Source organism: Homo sapiens, chromosome 11 (genome assembly GCF_000001405.40).
Source record: "Homo sapiens chromosome 11, GRCh38.p14 Primary Assembly".
Classification (NCBI taxonomy): domain Eukaryota; kingdom Metazoa; phylum Chordata; class Mammalia; order Primates; family Hominidae; genus Homo; species Homo sapiens.
The window spans coordinates 60,724,263-60,746,799 of record NC_000011.10 but is presented as its reverse complement, the minus strand read 5'-3'; the positions used below and the strand labels follow the sequence as shown (position 1 = coordinate 60,746,799).

The following is a 22,537-nucleotide window of genomic DNA, read 5'->3' as shown; positions in this document are numbered from 1 at the left end:
ATTTTGTGGCAATAGCTAAGTGCAACAGTCCGTTTCTTTATGGTGGCCTGATCATTGCTCGTATCAGCAACCCTGTAGGCCCAGACTAAGCAAGGCATGCTGAAATTTAAGAACTAGGAACAGCAGGAAAAAATGGAAATGTCCAGACTCTAAGCCCAGCACTAAGCCCCACCCTCTCATTGCCCAGTGCTGTGCTATCCCAGCTGATGACCTATTTACCTTCCTTGGTGCTGCTATAGGCTGAGTGATTCTTTCCTTGCTTTTGCTTTTGGGAATGCTCGATTCTTTCCTGTTATTTACAAGTTTTTAGAATAATAGGTGTGCCCTAGCAATCTCCAAAGATAATCACAGATTTTTTTTTTTCTAACATGATGAGCCATGTGTTTCAATCCATTGCAGGTGTTGTTGCAATTATTATTATTGCAATTGCTCTTCCTCTTCTTCTTCTTCTTCCTCCTCCTCCTCTTCCTCCTTTTCCTCTTCCTCTTCCTCGTCTTTTTCTTCTACAGAGTTTCACTCTTGTCACCCAGGCTGGAGTGTAATGGTGCTATCTCAGCTCACTGCAACCTCTGCCTCCTGAGTTCAAGCAATTCTTCTGCCTCAGCCTCCTGAGTAGCTGGGAATACAGGCGTACACCACCACACCCAGCAAATTTTTGTATTATTAGTAGAGATGGGGTTTCACCATGTTGGCCAGGCTGGTTTCGAACTCATGACCTCAGGTGATCCAACCCCCCCGCCCCCCCAGCCTCCCAAAGTGCTGGGATTACAAGCATGAGCTACCGTGCCTGGCCATTGCTATTATTCTTGACGTTCTAATTCGTTCCTTTTTTGGCTATAATTTTGTCATTATGAGAATATTATATACGTGGAGTCATGCAGTGTGCAATACTTTGAGATTGGGTTTTTCACTCATGTCCTTGAAATCCAAATTGTTGTGTGTATTGAAGGAAACCAGATTATGTCACCCCCAAATATGCCTCTTTGACGTAGAAAGTATTTCAAGCTGAAGGCAATTAAGAAGAAGCAAATGCAGGAAAAGTTCCCTCTATCTTCTTCCTTTTCTGCCTAAAGGCAGGATGTAAATTCTCCTTTGCTGAAGAAGAGTCTAAACTCTTATTAGCCCAGAAATGGCTCCAGAGGAAACTGTAAGCAAACCTTACTCCATTAGTTTCTTTCCATATATTTAACTTCCCACCGTTTCCTGCCTTTGGAAGCCTAAAACTGCCTTCCTTTGTCCTGTCATTTCTCTACAAATCCATTGTTCTTTGGGGAAGATGCTATGTAAGCAGATTCTAAGCCACTGCCCTGAGTTACTTCTCCTTGAGGTTTTTCCCAGGTGATGTGTGCTGTGTGGGCTAATTAAACTGCTTTTGTCTTGTGAACCTGTCTTTATGTTAAAGAGCCTCAGCTGAAAACCTATTTTAGCTTGATTTAGAACTGGCTTAGAACTGGTTTTTCAACAATGAACACACATCAGGGACCACGGAACAAAAATGCACCCTGCCCTTTGCCAGGTTAAAAGATACTGAGAGCCAAAGGAAAATTATTATGAATGAAAAAAAAAAAGACATCAATAACAAACAAAAATGAAGATAGGTAGAGGTAAAGTTTTGCTTCCTCCACAGCCATCAATAGCTTGTTCCTTTTTACTGCTGAGAAGTATTCTGTTGTATGGATGTAGCACAGTTTGCTTTTCCATTATTTATCCAGTGAAGAACACTCAGGTTGTTTCCAGTTTTTGTTTATTACAAATAAAGCTGCTATTCGCATTTCGTGTGGAAGTAAGTTTTATTTTCTCTAGGATAAATACCCAGGAACAAGATTGCTGAGTCATATGGTAAGTGTATACTTTGCTTTATAATAATCAGCCAAGCTGTTTTCCAGAGTAGCAGTGCCATTTACATCCTAACAACATCTGAGACCTCCAGTTGCTCTGTTTTCACCAGCACTTGGTATTATCAGTATTTTTAATTTCAGCCATTCTAATAGGTGTGTAGTGTTATTTCATTGTACTTAATGGCTAATAACATTGAACATCTTTTCATACGCTTATTTGCAACCCTATATTCTCTTTGTTAGAGCCTCTGTTCAAGCCTTTTGTCCATTTTGTGATTAGATTTTTTTTTATACTGTTGAGTTTAGAGAGTTCTTTATATATTGTGGAAACATGTCCTTTGTCAGATATATGATTTGCAAATATTTTCTTCCAGCCTATGACTTTTTATCTTAGCAAGATCTTTCACAGAGCAACTGTTTTTAATTCTAAGTCCAACTTATTGATTTTTTTCCTTTTGTGAATTGTATTTTTGGTGTCTTGTTTAAAAACTCTTCACCTAACTCTAGGTCACAAAGATTTTCCTCCTCCTACACCTGGGAATACTGAACACACTCCACATTGCTCCCCCTCCTCTGTGTGGGAGAACCGTGTCAGAGTTAGAGCTGCGGACTGGGAAGAAGTTGGACCTACAAGAATTCCATGGCTGAGGCACCGATTTAGAACCGGTTTTTCAACAGTGAGCATACATCAGGAACCACGGAACCAAAATGCACCCTGAACTTTGCCAAGGTTAAAAGATACTGAGAGCCAAAGGAAAATTATTTATGAATGAAAAAAAAGACATCAATAACAAACAAAAATGAAGCTTAGGAGTGAAGAGGAGAGGAAATGCTTGTTCATTTCAGTCTGGCAACAAGGCTAGGGTCATGGTCATGGAAGTTTCAGGGAGAAGAAAAGATACAGCTACAGTGTATCCCCTTGTCATTGAGACAGGCATCCCATGTCATCTATCTCTGTGCAAATCAGCTATTTCTTGGTACGAGGGTTCGGGGGTACATTGCTGGTGTGGATAGCATTGACACAACTGGTGGTAGCTTTGGCAGGGGCAGTGGTAGTGTTAACGGGGCCAGTTGTCACATTGACAGGGCCAATGTTAGCATTGACAGGACCAGTGGTAACATTGACAGGGCTGGTGGTGGTGTTGACAGGGCTGGTGGTGGTGTTGACAGGGTGAATGGTAGTATTGACAGGACCATTGGTGGCACTGACAGGGCCAGTGGCAGCATTGACAGGACCAGTGGTAGCATTGACAGGGCTGGTGGTGGTATTGGCTGGGTTGAAACTGAATACGGTTGGAATCACTGCCACATTCTGAAAGACAAAGGACATGTGGTCGTCATCTTCCTCTGTAGTAAACAACAACAATGGCCATAATTTTTTTCTTCCTTCTGTTTCCATACCCTTAGGTAGACCCTCTCTCCCTGATGCTGGGCTTGGTCATGTGACTTTCTTTGGCCAAGGGGGCAACAGTAAATATGATCTGTACAGTGTCTGCCCATTGGAGCTTGCTTTCTCTTATTGCTCTTTGGAACACTGAACATAAAGACTGGCCTGCCTGCTGGATAATGCAAGACAAGTGGCCCAGTTGTCCCTGTTGATTGCCAGCTTGCAAAGAGCCAGACACCCATGTGGGACTGCCCAATACTATCCAGCCACCAGGCAACTCACCAACTGACTGCAGACTCATGGCAAGCCCAGCAGAGGTCAGAAGAACTGCCCAGCAGACCCAGGGAATCAGGAGCTAAATAAGTGGTTGTTGAGTAAGCTATTAAGTTTTGGGGTTGTTTGATATGGGGCAAAAGCTAATTGATGTAGAAATTGGTAGCTAGAAGTAAGATAACAATAATCCAACACATGCATTGGGTTTGGGACTAGGTGGCAGGTGGCGCTGGAGAAGCTGTGAGTAAGCCTTTAGCAAAGGCTGGAAAAGTGGTGATCTCACTGCTGAAGGAATCTGGAAAAGGGGAGAGGAAACTGCCACAGCAGACTGGAGAAATGATTTCCCATGTTATGTAGTGGTGGAGTGCTGTTGTACTTCAGAAGACAAAAATATGCATCTAATAACTTTTGGATTTGGCTAAGGAGATCATCAGGCAGAATAATGAAAATGTCATTTGGGTGCTTCTGGTTGCATATGGTAAAGTGCTGTGAGAAAGTGAGGATAAAGAAGGAATGATTTAGTTTGCAAGTGGTATTTAGAGGCAAAGAAGAGAGCCCAGGACTTAATGAGTTAGAAAACAAGATTGTCTCTAATTTCCAAGGTCCTCAATGGATAAATAACATTCAAAGTAAAACTAGGCCTAAGAACAAAGATCAAACAAGGATGTGTCTATACAGCCCTTTGTTAAGACCTTTGAAAGGCTTAATCAGTGCTTATTAGACCCTTTCAGCTAGACAGAAATGCTTCTAAGAATCTAAAGGTATTGGTCTCACAGAAGCCTAATCCCAAAATAGACATTGGTAGATTTAGAGCAAGAGTGTGTCTAGAACACAGTCTTAGGTGTGGCTTTTATCAGATGGTGAAAGCCATAATCTGATACATAAAACACCCTTGGAGTTTTTAAGGGAATTTTATTAGTAACAGGATTACCAACTTGGACCAAATCTGACTGAAATTGCTCAAACTACAAAAAGACCTTTGGGGCTCACTCTTAATATGGGAAGCAGATTGAGAAATCAAGGTGGAAAATACAGGCCTTTCCTTATGAAAAAAGAAAACATGTTTCTGAGAGTAGAGCCAAGAGTCCAGAGGGTGGAGTCAAGGTCCTGGAAAACAATGGATTAGAAAGCTCCTCTCAGGAAGCAATAGAAAACAATGGCATGGGCAGAGTCTTCCAGAGAGTCAAATTGACTCCTAATCAAGAAACATTCTCTGCCCCCAGGGTAGGACAATATGTGCCTCATAGGATTTCAGAATTATTATGGAGCAGTGACAATCTTGTGCTTCTGTTCTTTCCTTTATTGAATGGGGAAATAACAGAATTCTATTTATCCTATTTTTCTCTCACTAAAGTATGTTGGATATATGGGGACAGAACTTTCTTTTAGTTCATGGTTTCTGGATCAAGAAGAGCAATACACCCAAATCCTCAGTCACATCTAGATCTGATTTGGATCCTAGACTTCAAGCCTGATGCCATGATTAGATGGGACATTTGGGCATCCAAAATATGGGTTGAGCATACTTTGCATCTTGGACAGCTGTGAGTAATTTGTGGCCAGAGGAAAGAGTGTTGTAGACTGCAATACTGGTTACAAATCCTTATATTCATTAACCTTTGCTGGGTGACTTTGTAGCTCCTCTTATCAAGAGGTAGAGCTGTTGCTCCACTCGTAGAATCTGGGTTCGGCCATGTGACTGACTGTGACCAGTGGGACATTAGCAAATGTGATGCAAGCAGGGACTTAAAGTGCTTGCCTGTGGGAGCTTGCTGTGTCTTGCTACTCTTGGAACCTAGCTCCCCACAAAGAAGCTCAGGTGGGCGTACTGGAGGATGAGATAACATGTGGAGCAGAGGTGAGCTATTTCATGAAGGTCCCTGGAGACCAACCATCCCCAAGCTAAGATACAAGGGTGAGTTCATCTGAGGCCAACAGAAGAGCTACCCACTGATCATAGCCCAAGCTGATGATGCACAGAATAAAGAGCTAAATAACCGGAAGTCACTAAGTTCTGGGGTAGGTAGCTATGCAGCAAAACTTAACTGATACACCCTCTCTCAGGCCTCATTTCTCCAGATCTCTGGTTACCTCTTGCTATAGCCCACACCCAACTCCAGAGCATGATCTGATTCCTGGAACAGAGTCCAATGCTTACCTCAAATTGTCTGCAGCAGGTAGCCTGGCACCCAAAATGTGAGACCACACAAGTGAGGATGAACTCCAGGAGGGCAAAGGGGAGAAGACCGCCAGAAACCGCCTTTGAATATGTCTAAAGGCAAAGAGAAATGGAAGGCATTTAGTCCTTCAGGTTGATGGCCTAGGTGACAGTCCACATTTGGAGTGCCACACACCTCACCTGGAAGGCCTGAGACCCTCTCTGCATGTGGCCCTTTGGAGCAGGTGCTTGGGTCACCCATTTTATATGCCCTTGCCTTACCCTCTTAGTCACTGGCCTGACTTCCAACTGCCAGCACCTGCATTCCTTTGCCTCAGGGCTCTCTCTGGCCTCTGAAGCCTACTTTGCTGTTTGCACAGGCTCAAAGTTCCAGGAAATGAGTGCCTCTTGAGAACAGCCCTCTCTCCATGACTGTCAGGGGCTGGTGTATAAATACCCCAGCTCTCTTACCCCTTAAGTTGGTGTTTGCTTCCTCTCCCAGATAAACTACTTGTCTCAAATTCTGCTCCTGGGAGGAACCCAAACTGAGACATTTCAACAAGTGCACTGGCTAGGAAACCCTGTATGAGGGTCTGGGCTACTTGCCTGGGGCCAGGGGATAGACACCAGCTAGGTCAGGGTCCTTAGCTCTGTCTGGCTCCTGGCTTTCTCAGCCCTCTTCCAGTATCCCTGCCTCATACTGCCCTTGACAGGTTGGGATGGGACCTCAGAGCTTCAAGGGATTCTGTCAAGACAGAAACTAAGGCAGGATTGAAGGGGTCCCAGAGAGCTCAGTGTGCTCTGGGCCTGGTCCCTGCCCACAGTAGGGTGGAAGGGATCACTGAGCTCCTCTCATCCCTACACACTCTTTCTCTGGAGCAGAGGGTGGGGATCCCAGGGCTTGGAATGCCTGTTGGAATCCAGTGCCGTTGTGCTACACTGCACTAGTATGCTCCTTGATGACAGAGGTCCTGATTGCCAAATGACCACCTTTAGGATTTGTAGCTGTTGTGCTCTTGGTTCCACATGAACACAATCCACTCCCTTGTTGGGACATCCTGTTGCATCCTATTGGACTCCAGAGGCCAGCATCTTGCTGCCACATCCCCTAGATACCAAGTTACACCCTGTGCATCAGGCTTCTTCCTGGGGCCTTCAGGGAGCTCTCCCCTTAGGGACTGCCCTCACCCCTGTAGACATGTCTGGTTTAAGACCCTGTGTCCTGCCAGCCTTCCCTTGCCCACTTGGTTAGTCCCAAGAGAGGATCAGATTGCAGCCAACTGTGGAGCTAGCTACTCTCGATCTTGTTCTTCAGGCCTCCTCAAGTACTGTGTCAATGTTACTGATGTCCTTCCATGCCTGCTGCCTGACTTTCATTTGCATGGCTTCACTTGAGGGCTTCCTTTGGCCACAAGAAACTCCTTTGCCCATGAGCATGGCAGACTGGAAGCACTAGGGAATTGATGCCCCTCAGGAGCAGTTTTTGATCAATGATTGAGGGGAGTTGGTGGATAAATACACCCTCACTCCAGGACAGGGTGTAGCTAAGGCACATATCATTCCCTGGCTACCAGGGCCCCGGCAGGTCCACCTCCAGGGGTCCTTGCCGGATAATACGTTTATAGTGCAGCTTCCTCTCCTTGTTTGTCTTACTTCTTCCCTCCTCTAGTGAGGTTTCCTAGAATAACCTCTGAAATACACGACTTGCACCTGAATCCTTCTCTTTGCATCTGCATCTGGAGGTCCCCGCACCAAAAGACCAGAACTAGCATCCGCACCTCCTGTTTGTGTGAAAGGCTATCCCTCGAGAGACCCCTAGGGGCAGGTGATCTTGTGAGTCTGAGTGTGGCAGCCCCCTAGGCCGCTTACCTGGTCACCTGCTACCTCCAAGTAGAGAAAAGGATAGGTACGAGGAGAGGTCAAGTGGCTATACCTCTCTGAGTCTCAGTGTCCTCACTGTGAAATGGAGTTTATCATGGCCACCTCAGAGGGCACAGGGTTTTGGTGACGGTTAAATAGCTTATGGATGTAGTGGTTGTCATACTAGGATGGAATTCTGGGGCAATTCCATTCTGCTCTGGGGAGGCAACCTCAGAAGCCCTCCTGGTCCTTTGGCAGCACGGGGCCCTGGCAGTCAGATGCTCACCGTCACATAGTAAAGGCTCAGATCTGTAATGATAATGAAGATCCCGGCAAAGGCGAAGAGTGCGCTGATGATGTTGAAGCTGATGCTGCTGTTCACCTGCAGGAGAGGAGGGAGAGGAGAGAGGGAGCCGAGTCTGAAGAGTCTGAAGCCTGGCTTGTGGGGACTCTTGGGAAGTCGGAGAAGAGAGAAGGCAGGGCAGAAAAGAGTTGGCCAGGCAGGGTGGAGAAGCATTTATTTTAGCGATAGTGAGGTGAGAAAAATCATTGCTTTTTTTTTTTTAACTTTTATTTTAAGTTCATGGGTACAAGTCCAGGTTTGTCTCATGGGTCAACTTGTGGCATGGGGGTTTGTTGTAGAGATTATTTCATAACCCAGGTATTAAGCCTAGTACCTGTTAGTTGTTTTACCTGATCCTTTCTTTCCTCCAAACCTCCACCCAAAATCATTCGTTAATCAATGTGCAGCATCCTTCTATGGCAGGGACTGGATTTGTTTGGGAAAATTTCTTTCGAAGCAGCAGAGAGTAGGCAATGAGATTCAGAAAGAGATAAGGCAAAGATGCAGAACTACTCTGCAGAAGAAGTGAGCAGAGATCCCAAGCTTGAATTGAGGGAAGGGAGTCGGGGAGACTTGGTCCCTGTGGTGGAAGGCTGGGGCCAGCATCCTGGCAGGATTGGCTGGGGAAGGTTTTCAGAACCGGAAATTCTCATATTCAACTTTGAGGGGTCTGCCGCTCAGTGCTGAGAGGCTGAAGTCCTCGAATTATTCATTATCCATCCCCTACTCAAGCTGCTTCCCTTTAAGAGGGTTATGGGGATGAAGAGAGAAAGGTGAAAGAGAAAGGGACCGTGTTCTACATTTGGGCTGAGGCCAGGACAGCTGTGAGATGTATAAAGTAGAAACGGAAGTTGAGATTTCAATAGAAAGTCAGATGTCAGAGCAAGAGAGGACTAGGAGACCCCCACGAGTCAGCAGTCACCTTAGGGAGAGCATTTGACTTCCCAGGGGATATGGAACTTCCCAGTCCTGTTGGGATATGAACAGGTGGTGTGAGCTTGGTTGATGCTGGGGTGTCTGGAGGACTCTGCTCTTCCTAAAGGGGGTGAAGCAAGGCAGATTGTGGGGCCACAGGAGTTTGCCTTGCAGACTGGAGATTGGTAATTGGGAAACCCTCTGTTAGACACCCAGCCCCTAGCTGACCTACTGCTTTCCCATCAAAAGGCAGAAGAAAGACGACAAGCCATACAGAGAAAGTGGAGAGGGGAAGGAGGACCTGAGAAGGAAGGAGATGAGAGAAGGGCCATTGTGGAGCTCTAAATTTATCCCTAAGCTTCTTAGAGGCTGCAACAAAAATCAAAACATGACCAGATACTTTGCTGGATGCTGAGACAGAGAATAAATGCCCCAAAGGTGCAAGGGAATTCTGGGCCCTGTGCTCCTGGTTGGGACTTTAAATTGTTCAAGGCAGGTATTGCTCTCACTTTTCTAGGTCCACACAAAGAGGATCATGGAAAATATCTTAAAGAGATGGCCGAGATGCACACACATTTTCGTTTGGCTCAGGCCTGGCTTTCTGCTTAATTCAGAGCACCCATAAGGCACTGCGTGTAAATACTCATGAGTTTCCCAAAGAGCTAAGTTTTTGAATAGTAAAATGCAATAGTTAAAAAAGAACAGCTTTGGAATCAGAGGGCTCTGGGGTCAAATCCCAGCTCTGCCATGTACTCACTGTGTGATCTTAGGCAAGCCACCTGACCTCTCTGCTCCTCAATTTTCTCCTCTGAAAAATGGGGATAATACAGCTTCACAGAGTGATGGGGATTGACTGGAATAAGGTATGGAAATGCACTGTACCCAGGGCCAGGGCCAGGCCACACCACTACTGTGAGTCTCCTTTTTTCATGTTTGGTAGAGAGTCAAATTCTAACATTCAAGGATCATCAAAGACAGCACTGTGACTTACCACACAAGGACTGGGGTCCTTTGCAGCCCATACTGAGAGGGATCCAGATACAATATACTACGCAGACAAAAAAAAAAAAAAAAGAATGACCAATTGTGCAGCATGTTAAAAAAGACAGCTGTCCACTCAGAGACGCATTTCTCAATCTTTATGTTCTATGCACCTTGTTTCACAAAATGTGCAAATCTGTTTATTTCCTCCCAACATTTTTACTATCCCAATGGTTAGGCACCAAATATACTAAATACCGTGATACTCAAACTCCTGTGGGTCTAGGCTAACACCTTCCTTTCCCCTAAAAACCTGAATTTTGTCCCAGGATGCTGTAAATCTCATTATTATTATGTTTTGACTGATTCTCCTTGAGTCCACTGTCTGGACATATCATCGCCAAAATGCATTAATTGCTCATTTGGCCTCCGCTGCCCTATCCTCAACTGTGATCTTGGAAAACCAGGGGCTGAGCAGTGTGGTGGGTGGAGCCTTGGGGCTGGGAGATAGGAGACCTGGGCTGTGGCCTCATCTGCTGTGGTCCTGGACCCAGCTAGAGGGTCCTCTTTAGCACTTGATGCTGCTGAGCAGGTGATGGAAACATGAACATCAGAAGCAGTAAGAGCTCTGTTCAGTTATGAGAGCCCTGAAATGAGGAGGCCTGGGCTCAGGACGTTCCTCCAGCACTTTCTGGCTATGAGGATGTGGTGGTGTCATCCTCATAGCCAGAAAGTGCTGGAGGAAGATCTTGAGCTTCAGTCTCTTCATCTGGCAAATGGGCATACATAATGATTCCAGCCCTCTCTATCTGCAAGTGGGTCATGTAGTTCAAGTGAGAGAACAAGGATAGGATTATTGATGGGGGAGAATAGGGGCACTCAGGGGTTTTGCTAGCTCTCTTGAAGCTACCCCTCAAAGGAACTCACTTCTTCCCAAACAAAATGGCCAGTGGGGGAAAAGAGCCAGCTGCATGCAAATACAGGATTATTCCATGTATATGCGTTTGTAAACAAGCAAAGCCAAGCCACTCGTTGCTTAGGCATATAGGTAAATATGATCGGACCATAAAGAAAAGCAAGGGAGGCTGGACGTGCTAGCTCACGCCTGTAATCCCAGCACTTTGGGAGGCCGAGGTGGGTGGATTATGAGACCAGGAGTTTGAGACCAGCCTGGCTAACATGGTGAAACCCTGTCTCTACTGAAAATACAAAAATTAGCTGGGAGTGGTGGTGCACGCCTGTAATCCCAGTTACTCAGGAGGCTGAGGCAGGACAATCGCTTGAACCTAGGAGGCAGAGGTTGAAGTGAGCCAAGATTGTGCCACTGTGTCTCAGCCTGGGTGACAGAGTGACTCCGTCTCAAAAAAAAAAAAAAAAAAAAAAGCAAGGGAATGAAAAACATTAAATCGGCCAGCCGCCGTGGCTCACGCTTGTAATCCCAGCACTTTGGGAGGCCGAGGCGGGTGGATCACAAGGTCAGGAGATCGAGACCACGGTGAAACCCTGTCTCTACTAAAAATACAAAAAAAAAAAAAAAAAAAAAATTAGCCGGGCACGGTGGCAGGCGCCTGTAGTCCCAGCTACTCTGGAGGCTGAGGCAGGAGAATGGCGTGAACCCGGGAGGCGGAGCTTGCAGTGAGCCGAGATGGCGCCACTGCACTCCAGCCTGGGCGACAGAGCGAGACTCCGTCTCAAAAAAAAAAAAAAAAGAAAAACATTAAATTGAAAATAGTGGTTACCTCTCGGGGCATAGAGGGGATACTTATAGGGATTTAAAAATTTAAAAACCACGTGTGATGCTTTGTTTTTTAAGTTAGGTGGTGGACACGTAGGTGTTCATTTTTTAAAACTTTAATTTAATTTACTATTTTTAATCGTGGTAAAATACACACAACTTAAAACATACCATTCAAACCCCTTCAAGTGTTTGGTTTACTAGCACCAAGAAAATTCATATTGTTAGGCTGGGTGGGATGGCTCATGCCTGTAATCCCAGCGCTTTAGGAAGCCAAGGGGGGCAGATCACCTGAGGTCAGGAGTTCGAGACCAGGCTGGCCAACATGGCAAAACCCCGTCTCTACTAAAAATACAAAAAATTAGCCGGGCATGGTGGCACATGCCTGTAATCCCAGCTACTCGGGAGGCCGACACAGGAGAATTTCTTGAACCCAGGAGGCAGAGGTTACAGTGAGCTGAGATGGCACTACTGCACTCCAGCCTGGGCAACAGAGCGAGACTCCACCTCAAAAAAAAAAAAAAAGAAAAGAAAAGAAAAGAAAATTCATATTGTTGTGCAACCAGCCACCCCAAGATCTCCTTTTATCATCCCAAACTGAAACTCAGTCCCCATAAAACACTAACTCCCCATTACCCTCTTACCCCAGCCCCTGGCAATCACCATGCTGCTTTTTCTATCTTTATGAATTTGACCACCCTAGGGACCTCATCTAAGTGGAATTGTACATGTGGGTGTTCAATTTATTAATATTATTTAAGCTCTGCAAGATGAAATATACTGAATGGCCTGCTGGTAAATGATTAACATCTGCCTTATGAGGTGGCAGCACTGCAGGGAAGGGCCCTGATTTGGAGCACGTGTTGATTTCCATGTCGTATGTATACCCAACATGGCCAACTTCCTGCTACCAAATGGTTTGACAATCATTTTACATAATTCCTGGAAATTTTGCAGTCGGCTCCCATAACTGGTATGGTAGGTAGATGCTGTCTATAGCACACAACTTTACGTACTCTGAGTTACATATGAGATATTTCTTTTTTTTTCCTTTGAGACAGGCTCTCACTCTGTTACCCAGGCTGGAGTGCAGTGGTGTGATCATGGCTCACTGAAGCCTCCACCTCCTGGGCTCAGGTGATCCTTCCACCTCAGCATCCCAAGTAGCTGGGACTACAAGTGCACACCACCACACCCAGCTAATTTTTTGTATTTTTGTAGAGATGGCGGGTGGGGGGAGGTCTTGCCATGTTGCCCAGGCTGGTCTCAAACTCCTGACCCCAAGTGATTCACCTACCTCGGCCTCCCAAATTGCTGGGATTACCTGCGTGAGCCACCCTGCCTGGCCTTATCAGATAAATATCTCATAAAAGAGAACCCAGAGAGGGTGGAAGAGGTAAAGAACATGATAATGAGTGTTTGTACCCAATAGTTCCCTAGAGGCTGGGTGGGGGGTATGGGAGATGGGGAGGGTGGTGGTGGGAGGGAGTGTTGCTGGGGCAGGGAGTTGATATAACCCTTTGCTGTATCTGCAAGTTGGAGGCTGGCTCTAGTCTACAGAGTCATATTACTGGGAATGGGATTCCATGCTCCTTCTTCCTCCACTTCCTTCTTGTCCCAGTCTGGTGACCCAGGAAGGAGACCATATGGCCTTGTACTCACGGATAATCCTCCCCAGAGCGGGTACCCTGACAACCAGGTCACAAAAGGATAGTAATACAGCACAGGGTTAATTGCAGAGAAAATGTGCGTCAGGCCGATGAGGATCTGGATGGCCTGCAGGGAGAACAAGTCACTGTGAGAGAGCAGAACTGCGGGCCTGTGGGCTGTGGAGCTGTGCTTTGCACCCTGGCTGTGCCCCAGAATCACCCCAGGGGTGATTGGTGTTGGGGGCTCATCCCAGACCAAATGGATACAAATCTCTGAGGGTAGGGTCCACACCTGGGTGTTTTTTTAAAAACTTCACAGGTGATGCGAATTTGCACTCAGGCTGAGAATCACAGGCATAAAGGAAAGGTAAGACAGCCTATAACAGAGCAAGAAATGTGTTCCCTTTAGACTGAGCCCACAAGTGTGCAGAGACACGGGCCGAGCCCGGGTTGTGGCTGAAAACCACCTGGCTCCTGTCCTGGCTGCAGCACTGGCCGGCTGTGTGGTCTCCAGCAAATATCCTCTCTGCCTCAGGGTTTCCTTATTTGCAGGGAAACCAAAAATGTCAAATCCTAGAAAACGTAGCATTCCTACACGTGATGTTAACATCGTTCTCAGATAGTTGTCGGCCGAAATTCATGTGATGAATCTGATTTTTCCAAAATAGATGATTCTGATGATTCAGACCATTCGATGTTAGTTCTGTTTAGAAATAACTCGAAGAAAGGTCTTTATATTTTATTTTCACTCTGAAAATCAGCCAGATTTGCTTCAGCCTCAAGAGCATGTTTGAGAGGCTACATATTTGCAAGATGGGGGTAACAGTATCCAGCTTGCAGGGCTGTGGTAGAGATTAAAAGTGCCTATGAAACTTGTAGCCCAGTTCCTAGCATGCAGTAGGTGTTTCTTTTTTTTTTTTTTTTTTTTTTGAGACGGAGTCTTGCCCTGTCGCCCAGGCTGGAGTGCAATGGCGTGATCTTGGCTCACTGCAAGCTGTGCCTCCCAGGTTCACGTGATTCTCCTGCCTCAGCCTCCCGAGTAGCTGGGAATACATGTGCCTGCCACCCAGCCAGGCTAATTTTTTTTTGTATTTTTAGTAGAGATGGGGTTTACCATGTTAGCCAGGATGGTCTCGATCTCCTGACCTCGTGAACCGCCCGCCTCGGCCTCTTAAAGTGCTGGGATTACAGGGGTGAGCCACCACGCCAGGCCTGAATGCAGTAAGTATTTCAATGCCCTCTGCTGACTCCATTCATCTTCCCAGTACCGATATTCTCTTTGTGGCCTCCTCTATGACGTCCCCACAGTTCCCCTTGGCAACGTACACAAGGGGAGATCCTCTGTCCCCTGCAAGTCCTGTGTTTTTCCCCTTACTCCCTGCTTTTCCTCCACTGTTGCCACTGTCTGAAATCTGCTTGCTTTACTCTCCTCCTCCTGAAATCCTATCCTTCCCTTAAGGACCAGAGAGATTCTTTTCCTGAGCCCCCGTCCAGGATGAATCCCCTCTCATTTGGGGCTCCTACAGCATTTACCACTGGCTTCTCTGGGCCTCAGTTTCCTCAGGGATCAAATGACTAGCCTAGGGCAGCTGCTTTCTGTCTTCCTGGTCCATGAGTCTATGAGTTGGTGACAGACCTGGGTTTCACATGAACATCCCTTCCTAAGGCGACATGCTTGACTCTGTCTACAGGCCCACTTTATCAGTATATTAATGAACCCTGTTCCCATTTAGAAAAAAAATAGTGCCGCTCGCTGCCAGCACTCATTTAATTTTACATAAACACACTCTTGAGGCTGAAGCAAATCTGGCTGATTTTCATTGTGAAAATAAATGATAAAAACGGTTTTTCGAGTGATTTCTAAACAGAACTAACATTAGAATTGTTTACTTCGGAAACACTGGATTCATCAAATGAATCTTTGGCCAACAACTGTTTGAGAACAATGTTAACACCATGCGTAGAAATGCTACGTTTTCTAGGATTTGACATTTTTAGTAATCGAGAATTACTGTATTTTGTAAATGGGAATACTACTACTAAAAACAGAATGCTATAAATAGAATGATGTCTCTTGCTTCCAAGGTCAATATGCTAGAGCAAGGCGAAAGTTATAATAAAAGGGAGACATTGGCAAAGTTATCTCGGGCTAAATACTGCAGCTGCAAGTGCTGCTGGCGAATATTCTTGGGGCAATCGGGAAAAGGGCTAAGAGGCACTCATAGTTTCCTTCCCCAAACAAAATTGTAATTGATTAAAGATAGTCTGCAGTTTTGGCTTTTTGGCTTTTCATTTTGTTTGGCCAGGTTCCCCAGATATTTGCTCTGACTTAATTCTGTTTTGACAAATTTTGAAATCCTTCCAAAATATCTTAGAATAATTGCTAGCCAAAGTTAACAAACCTTTACCCAGTATTAATTAATAATAATGATAGTCATTGTAATACAAGATGATAATTACTACGCAATATCATAGACCAGCTTTACCTTTTGGAGGATTTCCGCACACATTTATAATCTCACTTGATGCTTGTGACCAGGATTTCCCTCTTTTTTTCTTTTTTTTTAAAGACTGAGTCTAGCTCTGTAGCCCAGGCTGGAGTGCAGTGGCGCTGTCTCGGCTCACTGCAAGCTCTGCCTCCCGGGTTCACGCCATTCTCCTGCCTCAGCCTCCAGAGTAGCTGGGACTACAGGCACCCGCCACCACACCTGGCTAATTTTTTGTATTTTTGGTAGAGACAGGGTTTCACCATGTTAGCCAGGATGGTCTCGATTTCCTGACCTTGTAATCTGCCTGCCTTGGCCTCCCAAAGTGCTGGGATTACAGGCATGAGCCACCGTGTCCGGCCTGACCAGGATTTCTATTCCTGATTGCTGTTTTATAGAATTTAGTTCAGGATTTGATTTTGATTTGTTTGGGAGGCAAACAACGCCTTGTTCCTGGCACAATCTACTTGTCTACCCAGGATTAAATAAGGAGGAATGGGTCCCCTTCCTGCACCTGTCCTTGTCTTCCTGCCTCCAGGAGGCAGTTTGTAACTTCTCAAAGAAGCCAGACAATTTGCACTTTGGGCAGCCACAATAACTTATGCATGTCTCATGGCAATTGCCAGAAGGTATTGTAATTATGACAGCTGCCATGAACAAAGACCCTCCTTCATCTTCATGGATGATGTTTTGGTTATCTCTGAGTCTCCAGCTCCTTGCAGGGCACGTGCAGTGTTGAATGGATGAGTGCATAGAGTATGGGCATCTGTGACACGCCAGTCTCCATACTAAGAGTTGGCCAGGCATCCAGATCCAGCCAGGCATCTGGCTTCTGCCTCAAAAACAGAATTGAATTGAGCTTTGGAAGGTGCTAAATGAAACTGGAGGAGGCAGGAAAGAGGCAGAGGCCCCCTTGATTGAAAAGGAAATCACAAAACCTTGGAGCTGGAAGGAATTTAAGAAAGCTGAATCTTCTTATTCTAAAGATGAGGAAATGGAGGCCCAGAGCGAGGAAGAGATGTCTGCAAGGCCACTCAGCAAATCTAGCTGGCCTGAGACCTGGATTGCCTGACTCCCTGCTCAGTGGTCTTTTTAGTGGAACTATTGCTGACCCATGCCCCTGATAGATAGCTGGGTAAGGTGGGGATGTTCACTGATTATTCAAACCTTTATCCCCCAAACCATGGGTCTCCTTGGGGAGTGGAAGGAAGACAAGGGAGAGGGGCCAGCATCTGGGTGATTGTACTGGGTCCAGCCTCCAGAAACTGCCCCCCACACCCACTCCACCTCCCCTTTACCCTCTCAACACATTCCCTTCCTCATCCCAGAGCACTAGACGAGGGCTTATGAAGTGACCCAAATCGGAGAGAAGGAGAAATCACACTCACCCCTAATGTTCTGACCTCCTCATTTATGAATTTCTTGGGATTAAATGAAGTAAATGATGCAAATGACGTGTTCCACTGGGATGAGTTTGAGGTGTGTGTCAGCCCAGGGTTAGCATTCAGAGGATTCTGAAGGTCTCCAGGCCATGTCTGGAGATTCGTGGTTCCCTGTGTGTATTGGATCACTCCAGGCACCGTCTGCAAACTGGCTGTTCCCACTGGATACTGTCGCTGATACCCAATGGGTTGACTCTGTACACCTGCTGCTGAGTTCTGGTTCACCACGAGTAGATTCTGTAAGTTTGCTCTTCCTGTATCACAGTGGATTACTTTTGGTGAGATTGGGTAAGTGGTCACCTCTGAAGGCTGCAGATGATTTCCAGAGGCCACAGGGTTGCTGGGCTGGATGACGTGAACATTATCTGGGGCAATAATGCCAGGTACACTGTTGGCTCCAATCACCTGTTCGGTCATGGTGTACAACTGCTGCAAAACACATAAGAAGGTGCATTTCCCTCTTCTGACAAAATGAATAATGCATCTTATCTCATTCTTATCTTTAGTTTCATCTTCATTAAAATAAGAATCACCTAGCATGGTACCAGACAAAATAAACTTCTTGCCTTTCTTGGCAAGAACACACTGTTTTCCTTTTACGGATTTGGATTTGCAAGACTAGGGTTTCCCGAGGCTACTTAGCTTCTTGTAGACCTTTTGTTCACAGTCTGGATGGTGGCTTTGCTTAGCCCCCTGCAGTTGGCATTTTAATCTGCATGCCTTGAGTTTGTTGAGTGGGCACAGGCTACCTCCCCATCTTGCCCCCTGCCCTGGCAAAGCTGATTGATCTGGGGGTGAACAACTGACCCCAAATGCTCTGGTAACTTCTTTCTCCTGGGAATTTGGAACTGGACCCAAGGACTACTGTGGGATGGGAGGCTAGGCAGAGTTGGAGGGGTCACATGTATGTTGTGTGCAGGGGGAGCAGAGAACACCAGTTAGTAGAGTGAAGAGAATAAAGCTGAGAAGCATTGGGGGAGGGAGAGATAAAAGAAGAGGAGAGAAGGAGAGAGAGAGGGAAAGGAAAAGGGGGAAGGAGAGAAAGAGAGAGCGAGAGGGAAGGAGAAAGAAGACACATAGACACAGACAGACAGACACACACGCAGAGAAAGAGGGAAGGAGGGAGGAAGACACAGACACAGACAGACAGACACACACTCACACACACAGAGAGAGGGAAGGAGGGAGGAAGACAGATACACAGACACACACACACACATACACACACACAGAGAGAGGGAAGGAGGGAGGAAGACAGATAACACAGACATAGACACAGACACACAGACACACACACAGATACACACACACACACACACACACACACATACATACACACATACACACAGATACTACCTTGGTCTTTGATGTCCTTTTGACTCTCGGTTCTAGGTTCTCATTTGCCCCAGCTGTACTTCTGTCCTTGAAGTCTATAACTAGTTAACTCATTTATGGGTTTAATTTAATTAAGGCATTTTGTGTATGATTTTTCAACATTAATTGGTTTCAGAGCAAAAAAACAGACTGTCTTTCCCAGGCTTCTTGGGTGCCCTTGACATCCAGGAGGAACCATGGGCCAAGTGGCCTGGGAATGATCATCCCTTTCAATCTCTTCATGGGTCTTGTCCATGTTGGTGTTGGGATTGCGACCATGTAGAAATTTTGTTGCATTTTCCTTGTGTTTAAACCATTATGGTCCAGGGTCCTAGAGATTATGACAGTGATCAAACCCTTAATAGCCTGCAGTTTCTACTGAATCTTGAGCATTAGAAAAAGTTGAGAAGGGAATCACTTGGGGGGAGACCTGGGATATTGTCCCGATTTGATGAGGACTGATAAGCTGGACTTAGAGAATTGCTTAATTTTTTGATGCTGGGGAGCAAGTGTGCAATGGGAGGAGGTAGGCATGTAGCCCTCAGAACATTAAAGATATTATTAGATGCGAAGATATCCCATTCAGATGAGAGATAATGTTACTAGTGTACTTTACTTGTTAATTGTTGTGGCTGGTGGGCTTATCCCTTTACTTAGATTATACAGTCCTTACTGGCAAGACACCAAATCCTATGGCACAAAATAACGTGTGCAGGACCCCAGAGGTATGTTCTCAGGAGGCTTTCTGTCCTCACTAAATCACAAGTATAAATTGATCCCCCTGTCCCAGCTGCATCCTGAGTGAGAGAAACACTCCAAATTGTCAATGGACATTTTGAGTTTGGTGCTAGCTGATGAATTGGCATTATTTAATATTAATCGTCTATAAAGTAAACTCGAAAGCAAGACAGTATCAGGGTTAAGAGCTCAGACAGCCCTAAGTCCACTTCTCAGTTCCTTCATTTATTAGTTGTACGACCTTGAGCAAGTTGCATACGCTGTCAGTTTCTTATCTATAAAAGGTGCATAATAGTGGCACCTTCTCCAAAGGGTGTTTTGAAGATTGAGAAAACTGCCAGCATAGAACCTGGCACAGAGGGAACAGTTAACATTTGTTCTTTGTTGAAAGGTAGAGACCACCCATAAGAGAAGGGCCATTGTTTAGCAAAGTCTTGGAACCAACCCAAATGCCCCTCAACAATAGACTGGATAAAGAAAACGTGGCACATATACACCATGGAATACTATGCAGCCATAAAAAAGAATGAGTTCATGTCCTTTGCAGGGACGTGGATGAAGCTGGAAACCATCATTCTCAGCAAACTAACACAGGAACAGAAAACCAAACATAAGTGGGAGTTAAACAATGAGAACACATGGACACAGGGAGGGGAACATTACACACTGGGGCCTGTCGGAGGGTTGGGGGGCAAGGGGAGGGAGAGCATTAGGACAAATACCTAATGCATGTGGGGCTTAAAACCTAGATGACGGGTTGATAGATGCAGCAAACCACCATAGCACATGTATACCTATGTAACAAGCCTGCACGTTCTGCACATGTATCCCAGAACTTAGAGTAAAAATAAAATAAAATAAAATAAAATAAAATAAAATAAAATAAAATAAAATAAAATAAAAGTGTTACCCCAATCTTAAAAAAGAGAGGGGCCATTGTTGTGAATATTTTTCCTAATTGACCCCAAACTATTAGATTTAGTATTAATAGCAGAGGATCTCAAAGTACGGTCTCTGGACTAGCAGTATCAGTATCACCGGGAACTTGTCGGAAAGTCAAATTCTTGGTCCCCTCCCCAGAGCTACTAGAAAGTCCAGGGGCAAGGATCAGCCATCTGTGTTTCAACACACCCTCCAGGTGAATCTCATGCTGCTGAAGTTTGAGAACCACTTCCATGCAGAAATGCCCTACACTTCTCCTTTGTGGTTTCACTTCTTTTTCCTTGGATCCCAACAGTTCAAAATATTGGTTATATAAAGCTTCAGAAAATTCCCAGCTTTTTCCTTATTTTAAAATCTAGCTGGTCTCTGAGGCCCCTTTCCATGCTACTCTTCCATAGGAAAAACAACTGTCACTGGTCTGACACCTGATGGCTAAGGCATTCACCCCTGTCTTCTCACTCATTTTGATCCGACCCGCCTCTTTGCAAAGTAGGGAGACCAAGGCTCTGAAAGTGGAATAACTTGTCTACAATTATGCAACCCACAGGAATAGATCTGAGACTCAAATTTATTTTTTTCTGACTGCTATTTGCATTTCACTATGTTTTCATTTCCCAGAAGAAATGTTCTACCAGTGACATATGGATGGTGGAACATTCAGCTGCATGAATGGAGGCTGTGCAGGCAGTGTGAGCCACTTCTGCATTAGACCTTGACATTCCTTGCTTTCTTGAAGAATAACAGATTTCCCAGGAGAGTGGTTTAGAATAACAACTACAGCATCCTTGGATGTTGATGCCTCATAACCCTGTAGATATAAGGCAGTTCCCCCAGCAATATATTATTGTTATGACCATTTCTCGGGCAAACTCTCTGAGGCTCAGAGAGGTTAAGTGCCTTGACCATAGTCACACAGCTAGGAAATGCTGAAGTTGAGATTTGAAATACAAGAATTGATAGTCTGCCTGCCTTCAATTTTCATAATGAATACTGTGCTAAATGTTATACTCTGCTTCATGATATTAAAAAATTAATCATTTCTCTCTTCCTTTTTTTCAGAGGACTCCTTCTTTAATGTGTGAAAAACAATACAGCCGTAGACCTGACAATTGGCACAAACAGTTGGGCCCTATGAGGGATGTTCCTGGGACCCCTGAGATTCTACCTCCCGTCAGGAAAATGTCAGGAACAAAGAGAATGGTTCTGCCTGTAATCCCAGCACTTTGGGAGGCCAAGGCGGGCAGATCACGAGGTCAGGAGATCGAGACCATCCTGGTTAACACGGTGAAACCCTGTCTCTACTAAAAAATACAAAAAATTAGCCGGGCGTGGTGGCGGGCGCCTGTAGTCCCAGCTACTCTGGAAGCTGAGGCAGGAGAATGGCCTGAAACCGGGAGGTGGAACTTGCAGTGAGCCGAGATCGCGCCACTGCACTCCAGCCTGGGTGACAGAGCGAGACTCCGTCTCAAAAAGAAGAAGAAGAAAAAAAAGAGTGGTTCCATCAGAAGCCATTCCACCAGTTCTAGATTGAGGTCCTAAGTAGACCTGATCACAGTGTGCCTACAGCTGGGCTTAGGGAGCAAGGCAGCCAGAAAATGCCTAGCAGAGTCTCCAGCCTTCTATCTTAAGATTGCTGTGTCCATGCAGAGACAGGAGCTCAATTTGAGAACCTGTTGTGACTCTTCAGTTACTTCCCAGCCTCCCAGCACCTCCAAGGATGGGTGGCTGCACGCCTGTCTTGCTGGAGGGCACTACCCTATGTCTGAACCCCTGATTCCTTGTGGTTCTCAAGAGACACTTCCGAGGGACCGCCTAGGTCCACGTCTCTGCTGGTGCTATCCAGGCTCTGTCAGAGTCTTGCGGAAGAATTCACAGAAGTCTTACCTTGTGCTCCTGGGAAGTCTTTGGATGCTCTTTCTTCAGGCTCTGTGGGTTTCTGCAGCCTGATCTAGAAATTCTGGTGCTAGCTGATGGATTGGCACTATTTAATGTTAATCATCTAGAAAATAAACTCAAATTAGGTTTCCCTTTCAAGCTCCAAAGTCCTCTTTGCAGTTTCATTTGGAGTCAATACGTCTATTCTCTGGCATCCACGCTGTTTATTTGCCCCTCAGAGTATTTATGGCCTTGGCTAAAGTAGGATTCCATGGGATCTCCTTCCAAAGTTTCTCTTTGAGAAAGTGAGAAATCCAGAAGTGGGTCAAGATTTTCTGAGCCAATAGATTTCCCTTATAAGCAATTAGTGAGCATTTATTGAGTGTCTGGTGTGTGCTAGGTGGTATGCTAGGATACGAGGTGCTCTAGAATTTGCAAGGAGTTGACGAGACAGAATATAACCACTGTTGGGATAACTCTAGTGCAAGTATGGATAGGAACAAACAAATATTCAGTCAGACCATCAGGGATGATGTGGCTG

The 22,537-nt window shown here is 45.5% G+C and overlaps 1 protein-coding gene across 1 annotated transcript; it reads right to left on the bottom strand.

The window, feature by feature from the left end:
- Positions 1 to 1,771: 1,771 nt before the first annotated feature.
- MS4A18 (membrane spanning 4-domains A18) lies at positions 1,772 to 22,080 on the bottom strand. Its single transcript, NM_001354471.3, has 7 exons — positions 22,006 to 22,080; positions 17,014 to 17,496; positions 13,153 to 13,266; positions 9,766 to 9,822; positions 7,803 to 7,898; positions 5,657 to 5,770; positions 1,772 to 3,150 (listed from the first exon to the last, which is right to left on the bottom strand). Exons 2-7 carry the CDS (start codon positions 17,482 to 17,484, stop codon positions 2,806 to 2,808), a joined length of 1,197 nt encoding a protein of 398 aa, NP_001341400.1. The 5' UTR covers positions 17,485 to 17,496; positions 22,006 to 22,080; the 3' UTR covers positions 1,772 to 2,805.
- Positions 22,081 to 22,537: the final 457 nt, after the last annotated feature.